General features: G+C 38.6%; 1 protein-coding gene across 10 annotated transcripts in view; it reads left to right on the plus strand.

Moving 5' to 3' along the window:
* Nucleotides 1–6410, plus strand: part of SOCS6 (suppressor of cytokine signaling 6) — a 41155-nt gene extending 34745 nt beyond the window's left edge. For all 10 annotated transcript variants that reach the window (XM_017026087.2, XM_047437940.1, NM_004232.4 and 7 more), the window contains exon 2: nt 754–6410. In XM_017026087.2, the coding sequence (XP_016881576.1) occupies nt 880–2487 (1608 nt within the window). In that variant the 5' untranslated portion in view covers nt 754–879 and the 3' untranslated portion in view covers nt 2488–6410. The remainder of the gene's footprint in view (nt 1–753) is intronic.
* The last annotated feature ends 3642 nt before the right edge of the window (nt 6411–10052 follow it).

Raw genomic sequence — 10052 nt, forward strand, 5'->3', positions numbered from 1 at the left:
GCTTGTTATTGCAGTTCTATGGAACGCCTTTACTGTCGTGCCAGGACACAGGCTGGGACATGGCAGGCAGCGGAGGAGCAGTCGGAGTCAGTGCTGAAGGAGTGCACAGGTCTAGCTAGAGTCCAGCTGGGAAGGATGTGGACACTGGCCCACACGTTAGAGTTTATACCAAAAAGCAAGGTGCCAAAAGAACAAAAGGTAGATGCAGGCTTGTTCTTTATAAACATCATCGGGCGGGGCATGGTAGCTCAGCCTGTAATCCCAGCACTTTGGGAGGCCGAGGCGGGCGGATCATAAGGTCAAGAGATCGAGACCATCCTGGCTAACACGATGAAACCCCGTCTCTATTAAAATACAAAAAACTTAGCTGAGTGTGGTGGTGGGCGTCTGTAGTCCCAGCTACTTGGGAGGCTGAGGCAGGAGAATGGCGTGAACCCAGGAGGCAGAGCTTGCAGTGAGCCGAGATCACGCCACTGCACTCCAGCCTGGGCGAAAGAGTGAGACTCATCTCAAAATAATAATAATAATAATAATAAAGTAAACATCATCAAATACTTGCCAAATGCTCATTGTGTAGTAGGCAGTGATCTGCTCTGCTGGGTGCAATAGAAAGAAAGCCCGGTCCTAACAGAGCTGACATTAAGAAAAGACTGGGGTGTTCTCGTTCAGAAGTTAAAGGATTAAAACTGACTAAAACAAAACTTTTGTGGAAATATTTTTTAATATGACTCTTTTTATATTTTTATTTTTTAGAAAATGGCTCCAAAGGTTAAATGAAGCAGGAAAAATACATAGATGCAGCCTTGCAGCCTCTCCAGATGTTTGGGGATAATATTCCAGATAGAAATATTGATCCCTTGGATTAGGTAACTAGTCATAATGAAGAAAATTAGTCTTAAAACCTTACGGAAATCTTTTAACTTGAATAAAAGTAAAGAAGAAACTGATTTCATGGTAGTACAACAACCATCGCTAGCCAGTGACTTTGGAAAAGATGATTCCTTATTTGGTAGCTGCTATGGTAAAGATATGGCCAGCTGCGATATCAACGGTGAAGATGAAAAAGGCGGAAAAAACAGATCAAAAAGCGAGAGCCTGATGGGTACGCTAAAAAGGCGGCTTTCTGCAAAACAGAAGTCAAAAGGCAAGGCGGGCACACCCTCTGGGAGCTCTGCCGACGAGGACACCTTCTCCTCCTCCTCAGCACCCATAGTCTTTAAAGACGTGAGAGCTCAGAGGCCGATAAGGTCCACGTCGCTCCGCAGCCATCACTACAGTCCCGCGCCGTGGCCTCTGCGGCCCACAAACTCCGAGGAGACCTGCATCAAGATGGAGGTGAGAGTCAAGGCCTTGGTTCACTCTTCCAGCCCGAGTCCAGCCCTGAATGGCGTCCGGAAGGATTTCCACGACCTCCAGTCTGAGACCACGTGCCAGGAGCAAGCCAATTCACTGAAGAGCTCGGCTTCTCATAATGGAGACCTGCATCTTCACCTGGATGAACATGTGCCTGTCGTTATTGGACTTATGCCTCAGGACTACATTCAGTATACTGTGCCTTTAGATGAGGGGATGTATCCTTTGGAAGGATCACGGAGCTATTGTCTGGACAGCTCTTCTCCCATGGAAGTCTCTGCGGTTCCTCCTCAAGTGGGAGGGCGCGCTTTCCCCGAGGATGAGAGTCAGGTAGACCAGGACCTAGTTGTCGCCCCAGAGATCTTCGTGGATCAGTCCGTGAATGGCTTGTTGATTGGCACCACGGGAGTCATGTTGCAGAGCCCGAGAGCGGGTCACGATGATGTCCCTCCACTCTCACCATTGCTACCTCCAATGCAGAATAATCAAATCCAAAGGAACTTCAGTGGACTCACTGGCACAGAAGCCCACGTGGCTGAAAGTATGCGCTGTCATTTGAATTTTGATCCGAACTCTGCTCCTGGGGTTGCAAGAGTTTATGACTCAGTGCAAAGTAGTGGTCCCATGGTTGTGACAAGCCTTACAGAGGAGCTGAAAAAACTTGCAAAGCAAGGATGGTACTGGGGACCAATCACACGTTGGGAGGCAGAAGGGAAGCTAGCAAACGTGCCAGATGGTTCTTTTCTTGTTCGGGACAGTTCTGACGACCGTTACCTTTTAAGCTTGAGCTTTCGCTCCCATGGTAAAACACTTCACACTAGAATTGAGCACTCAAATGGTAGGTTTAGCTTTTATGAACAGCCAGATGTGGAAGGACATACGTCCATAGTTGATCTAATTGAGCATTCAATCAGGGACTCTGAAAATGGAGCTTTTTGTTATTCAAGGTCTCGGCTGCCTGGATCTGCAACTTACCCCGTCAGACTGACCAACCCAGTGTCCCGGTTCATGCAGGTGCGCTCGTTGCAGTACCTGTGTCGTTTTGTTATACGTCAGTATACCAGAATAGACTTAATTCAGAAACTGCCTTTGCCAAACAAAATGAAGGATTATTTACAGGAGAAGCACTACTGAAAGATTGAGAACCCTGCATCTTGCACTTTGGGAATAAGAACAAGAGATTGAAATACAGTTTACAAACTTTCATTGCCATCAAAATCTTTTGCTGCCATAACTATTTCAGTTTTATGTGTAAAAGAGTCATCAGTTTGTTTAGGGGTGGGGAAGTGTCAGCAAGGTGTCTTGGGTTTATTTTGGTTCTTTAAAAAAGGGAAGTCTTGAGGTTTTAGAGGTGTGAATTATGTTTCATCAATGTGCAGAATAATCACAATGTGAATTATCAAATTCTCCTCAATGCCCCCCCCGCCCAGTCCTTTGCTGCTATCCACTGTGATTTTTATGCATTAAAAGCACATTTCATGTGTATTCAACCCTAAGTAAAGTTGAATGAAACTTAACAGAATGGAAATTGCTATGTCTTTTTAAATGGTCCATTTTCAAAAGACAGTGTTGAATAAACATACCTGTGTGATAAAACACAGAATTTACATATACACTGAAGATGAGTTTTTAATCTCTTACTTTAAAAAGATTTATTTAGAATCGTGAATTGACATAATCTTGGGTAATGGAACGGAGATCTGCAACATATCTTTTAACAACACTTTTTTCTAAATTATTTCTAAGGTTGTGCTAATTCTTTTGGTTGTGAAAAGTTGAATTTTTCTGTTGCCTTCGTTTTCATCTTCTAGTTTGTCTATTTTAATAAATGGCCTTACATTAAAAAATTGTAAAGAAATGTATACCACCAATTTAGAAATTGTTGCCTTTTCTGTAATTAAACTCGGGTACAAATTGGCATAACATGAAAACCTATGGAACTAGAATTATTATTAAAGAAATATTAGATGATCATAGCTTCCTGTGATAGCATTTTTTTGTGTGTTACCTATCCTTTTGGTAAAATGTTTTATCTGTGATTTCTTTAGCTTAGTCAACATTTTCTTGGGTGAACTTGATTGTCAACTAATTTTCATAAATGGACTGGATTCTCTTGCAACATTAATGTTTATAAAAAGTTTTAAATTGATTTGAATAGAAAGAAAACATTGTTTTAAAGTTGGATTTATATTTTTCTTCTATGTAGTTACTATAAAAGTGTGCTGGATTTGACCAATCCTTACCCCCACTATAAAGAGAACCCGTGATGACTTTAGTTTAAAAATTGTGGAAATTGTGGAGCAATTTTTCTCACAATGTGAGAAAAATTCTAAACCATATTAGATAATGTGGAAGTCATATTGTCTATCATATATACTGCCATTTAAAAATAGGTTTTTAAAATTTAGCTAAGTCTTAAGTAATTTGCCGTTGCTAATAATTTTATCTCCTTGAGTCGGTTGTTGGGGAGAGATGTTATATTCAATAATTTTTAGTTATTTTGTAATGCAGAGTGTTTATTCATTTCACAGTTCTGCAATGGATGTAGTATTTTGGGATTGCCCTGTCCAGAAAATTTTCAGCTACACACCTTTAAAGGAAAATGTTTCTATCTCAGATGAAACATGTAATTTGGGATGGTTCTTCCTTTGTCACTTAAAGGAAGAGATAGGAAAAGTCTCTTACCCACTTTAAACATGAGGGTAAAGGTTTAGGTCAAACTTACTGGCTTTGTCATTCAAGCATATCTGAATCCTCACTTTTTTCTCTTTGCTTTTTAGGGTCAGAACTGAGATATTACCAAGAAAAGGCACAATGCCATAATATTATGGTGTTATGGTATTTTGACTTAAAGGGGAAAAGGTACTTAATTTTGGTGGGATGTTGATTGTACCTTGTTAAAAAGACTCTCATTTTCTCATATGTTTTCTCCTAATAAGATGGAATATGGAGTATACTGTAATAATATAAGTGTTCATTATAAGCTATTTGGATTAAGAACTATTGCAGAGTTGTAAGCTTGTTATCAAATTAATGCAAGACATTTAAACTATTTTTTTGCAAAACTATTTATTTTTAAAACAACTTAAAGTATATCTAGGGTGAGTTAAAAGTCCCTGTGCATCTATATTAGATGGCAGGTTTTGTCACAGAGTCACTGTGTATTAATAATAAATGTTGAAATGGCTTCTCCGTGTCTCCAGAAGCATTTACATGTCCTCCTTGTGAGATCATGGTGCACAGAGGTCTTTGGACTGCCCTGAACCCGTCTTATGTGGACATAACCTATTCCCTTCGTTTTCTCATCATGCCATGTGTTTAAGATCTACCCGCTTAGTGTCAAGATTATTGAGATTTTCATCTAAATGTTTTTAAAATTGTATTTTGTGTTTTAGTGGAGGACAGTCTTGATACTGTTCTAATTCAGAAAGCCAAATTTTGATGCGCTTTTGTATATTCATAATATATACTTTAATATGCCCTATTCTAATCTAGTTTGAAATTGTTAGATTCTGATAGTATAATGATAAAATCAAACTATTTGCCAAAAAGTTAAATTTACAAGCAGAAAGATGTTTTGCGATATTTTCTACTTTTGTGTAGAAAGATAACCATTTGGGGTAGGCAGCACAACAGAATGTGAAAGATTGGCTTTATATGATACTAACACAGTCCAGTTAAAAGTGGAAACAGGGAAAAGAGAGAGAGAAAACTCATCATTTAGTTTGGTCTAGACACAATTTGGTTAAATTTTAGGATTCTATTGGCAGTTAACATAGATGACATGGACACAGCCTATGAGTGCTTTTTAAATACGTGCTTCTAAAAATCTGAGCTCAAAGCAAGAAAAAGAAAACAGGAAAGCTGTATCCATTTGCCATAATAGATGAATCAGAATTGTTTTCTATTAAATATTTCATCACGAAATATGATGGAGGCCAGAAGCTATTTTTAGGCTTACTATAACACTATTATGCATTTTTATAAATAAGAAGAAGGCTGTAGAAAGTACTTGAAAAATATCTAATTCTCTTTCTGTCTAAGGAAAACTCTTTCTACTTGGTGCAATAATCTGAAAATTTAGAAGGTCAAAATATGTCACAGGAAATGATCATAGACCTAAAAATAGTTTTTAAGGAAACCAGCTACACGGGGCAACCAACCATCTTGCTGTTGAAGAAAACAGTTCCAAAAGGCTAAATCATTGGCATAAAGGAAACAAAACCCAAAGTATGCGTTGTAATTCTTGAGCCAGTATTACTGAAACAGGATAAAAGTTATAAAATCTAACATAGGTTAATGCAATGTCTCTGCTAGTGCTACAAGTCTAAAATATCTTTGTAACAATGCTTTCAGAAATGCCAGTTTTAATTACATTTCACATTGTATATGAGAGATACTGCTTTATGAATGAATCGGAATAATACATTTTCATTTAAATCTTAATTGCTTTTCATTAAATGCGAAGTCTTAATTTCAAAATGAAATCACACTACCAGCAATAGACAGTTTTCTTGAAAACTCTAATAAGGAACAATAGCCAGTTCCGTAAATAACTTTAAAATTCTAAAAGTGTTGGTACACTAGCAATCACAAATATGGTTTCTTTTAATACTTTTTTAATCCTGTAAAGAAGGGTTTTTATAAACATTCTTTTTATTAATCAGTCATAACATGGCGAAGTGTGTAGTTGCTGTTTCTGAAAAGTGATCCAAACTCTACATCCAGAGATTATGAAAAATTCTTATAGAATTTTGTAACAAGTATTTACATGTTGGGTGAAAGAAATTTCATAGTCGTTGGAGTGCCATGAAATTAATACTTGCAATTCAGATTGCGGTAGTTTACACTTTTTCTGTATGTTTCAAATCAGGTGTGTACCATTTGTACTGAGAACACCACAGAATGAATTATCCAAAGTCCATTGATTTTAATACGTGTTTTGGTTTGTAAACAAATTATAGTAATTTCTTGCACATTTTTGGAAATTAATTGTATAAGAATTTATGTATCTGCTTCTAGATACAGTGTGTAAATAAAAAATTTCGTTCACAAGACCTGCCTTGTAGTCTACTTAATACCCTGAGAGGTGCCTGATTTTAATTAGTATGGGGTTAACGAGAAAATTTCTGGGTGTCCCAGGAACTGCGCAGGGGCTGGAGGATGAGAACCAGCAAATTTTAGTAAAAATGGGAAAGCAGAATCATGTCCCTAATAGAAGATATCAGCTAGTGGTGCTAATCTATGAAAGCCTTCCCGGTGAAGGCTGGAGTGAGTTTGGAGAACTTGTACTAAGCAAAAAGACTAAAAACTGACACAGTAATGAAACCTCACTGAAAGAAGGCTAGGCTAAATGATACAATGTTTGGATTGTGACATTAAAAAAGCATATCACTGTTAATATTTCATTGAAATACAACCAGGTCATTAAAGTGTATATAGGGGTCATTTAGAAATTTTTTCATAGATAAGAAAGAGTTCTTATATCCACTGTATTTAATTGTGTCAGAGTTCTTAAATCTGGGATTAAACACCCACTTTATTTTGTTTGAATACTTTGTAAACAAATTCTTTTTTAAAAAAACCATGGCTAATTCAAAGATGAATTTTAAACTGATCTTGTTTAGAATGTATCACAAATTTTCACTTCAGTGAAACCCAATTTGGAATCTGTGATGATAACGTCATACTTTGCTGATGATGGTGCTAACGAAATACTATGAGATTATCGTGGGATCAAGAATTGTGCAAAAGAACAGACTTCACAAACGTACACCATTACCAGGTAAACAGACTTTTAACTTTTTTAGAAAATGTTTCATATTCATCTACCTCTTCTCTAGGGGTATTCATTTAACAAGATAGAGGAACAGGGAAGTTTGTTGAGGCCAAGCTGTGTTCCCTGTAGTTGCTCGTGGTCCTGAAAGGCCACCTGTGAGGAGGGCGAGGGTGAGAGCAGGCAGACGCTCTCAGAAGATGAAAGACCTGCTGCTAGGCTGCCAGATAACACAGAAAATACTGGCCCTGCGTCAGAACTTCAATAATAACGTAATTTTGTTTGCTATAGCCAATTTTTTTTTTACTCCCACCTTTAAATTTTTACCTTTTTTTTTTTTTTTTAAGCCTCACAGATTTTACTTATGCTTTTCCTAGGCTTTCAGCTTTCTGGATCAAAAATAGTTTAACCTTTATTTCTGTTGAATTTAGCTTTCATGTCTGCTGTTTTGGCCTAGTGGCTTTTCTGCTTTCAAATCTTCAGCTTCATTTACAATTCATTGTTGTTGTTGTTGTTTTAATGGTTGTTTAATTCTTTTAACTTTTTTTGTATTTCAGTTTCTAGTTTTGGGATTACCTAACCTTTTGAATCCTCTTTTTAGCAAAATGTGACTCTTCTCTTCCTTCCCTTTGTGTATGGCTCATTTTGCTGATGGATTTACAGCTGCTTTGACCCTTGCGGCTCTAGTCAGGCTCCCCCTCATGTTGGAATTTTCCAGGACAGTTTTCCTAGACCTTCACCTGTGAGACTTTATGGTTCCATAGGGTCTTTGTGTTCCTTTGTGGAAACGGCAGATTGGATGGAGAAGTGTTGGTTTATGACGTTACATAATTCAGTCCTAGTAGGAAGATCAGTCATAAACCCCAGGAAACAACCAGTGGATTTGAGAGTGAAAAGGACCTTTTGCTTGTTAAGATTTGATTACAGAAGTCAAATCCAGAGACCCCTGGGAGTGTCCCAGGACTGATGCTGGCAAAGAACCAATAATAGTGAATATCTGGGTGGGCATTCATCTCGGAGCACAGCTGAGTTTTGTAGCCAGATTCCTAGAACACTTTAATGCCAGCCTATATTCTTCCCTCCTTAATACCAGGCAGTCTCACCTTGACCAGTTTTGGAGGAGTCGTAGGAGGGAAAGGCTCCCTTCCATAGTAAGAGCCAAGCAGAGCTTGCTAGATCAGGGTTTATGAATAGGGCCAATTGTCTTGCCTAGAGAGAACTGTGGGCTGTCAAATCCTGTCCTTGGTTAACTATGGCTTACAAACAGGGTAAATATTAAATTGAGCCAGGCACAGTGGCTCATGCCTGTAATCCCAACACTTTGGGAGGCTGAGGTGGGCAGATCACAAGGTCAGGAGTTCGAGACAAGCCTGAGCAACATGGTGAAACCCCGTCTGTACTAAAAATACGAAAACTAGCCAGGCATGGTGTTGTGCACCTGTAATCCCAGCTACTCAGAAGGCTGAGGCAAGAGAATCACTTGAACCCGGGAGGCAGAGGTTGCAGTGAGCCGAGATTGCGCCACTGCTCTCCAAACTGGGCGAAAGAGCGAGACTCCATCTCAAAAACAAAAATTAAATTGAAAAGGAAGACTCACTTTGTAATCACAAGCAATGGATTTCCCCACACCAAGAAAGCTCTAGGAAGCACAGATAAGGATATAAGGGTTTTTCCGGATCTCTCACTCGGTTTCATGGGTCTAGTATGGTGGCATCCAGGGACACTAGGATTTAATTACACTAGGTCACAAGGTGAATATATAGGCGTCCCTGGGTATCTGCAGGGGATTGGTTCTAGGACCACCCTCTACCCTCCCCACCCCCAACCACCACCTGTGGATACAAAAATCTAGCGATGTTCAAGCCCCTGAAAGGCCTCTAGCTCTGTGGATTCAAACCAGCAGATACAGAGTCAATAGTAACAAATGCTTTGCCTTCCCCAAAGTAAGGGATAAAGAAGTATGAACACTAGTGGCTGCCTGTAGGCTGCATATTTACTTTGCATAATAGTGGCTTGAGTAATCATGACTTAGCCACCCAAGCAGAGTCAAGAAAAATTATTGCATTTATTCATCTGTCTTTATTCAATCTTTCCCATCCCACCCAACCAGACACTCAATACTCATTCTCCAAAGGTAATTCAAGCCTTATCTCACAATGTCTTCTCTCCTTATCCCAAATCAAATTGATTAACCGCTCCTCCTTGAAATTCTCATAAGCCTTAGAAAGAAGAAAGGAAGGGAGGAGATACAACCTGTTTCACTGTTGAAAATGAGGAAGAATATGTTCAGTGATCCCTATAAGGATGTATGTCCTCATAGGACAATTTAATTTTAAAGGTGACAGAAACGCACATGACACTGTTCAGTTTTTTCTTTTTCACACCCCATGAAAACCTTCAGGTTTTACACAGAATTGTTGCTATGCTTCTTACACAGTTCTCCAAATTTTCTAATAGAGACTCTTAAGCTATCCCATAATTCTGAATTAATAAAGCTGATGCAAAAGGGATGAGCCAGCAATGTAATACCCACTCAGTGCGTCAGGTTTTTTGGTCATTTTGTTAAATAGGATTTTAGAGTTTCCCTGTGGGTATGAGATTATGAAATCTTCCAGTTGAAGCTATCAGTGTAATAATAAGAAATACCTTTCTTACATGTTACTCAAAACTGGCAGATTTGTGAGATAATGATTGTCTCAGCTTTAGGTGTCCACATTTGAAAAATGTGGATGTGGTGCCCTAGGATTCCTGCAGGTGGGGAGCTGGAAAAGGTCTTTTTAAAGTCTTTCCAACTTGAAATTTCTAATAAGATTTCTAAGACAAAACCTAAATAGAGGAAAAGAATAAAAGATTTGAAGGAAAAAAAAACTAGAAGGAAAAAAAAGTTCAAATTTGTAACATAGTTGCAATAGGCTGAGTCCAC

This window comes from Homo sapiens, chromosome 18, assembly GCF_000001405.40.
Source record: "Homo sapiens chromosome 18, GRCh38.p14 Primary Assembly".
In the NCBI taxonomy this organism is placed as follows: Eukaryota; Metazoa; Chordata; class Mammalia; order Primates; family Hominidae; genus Homo; species Homo sapiens.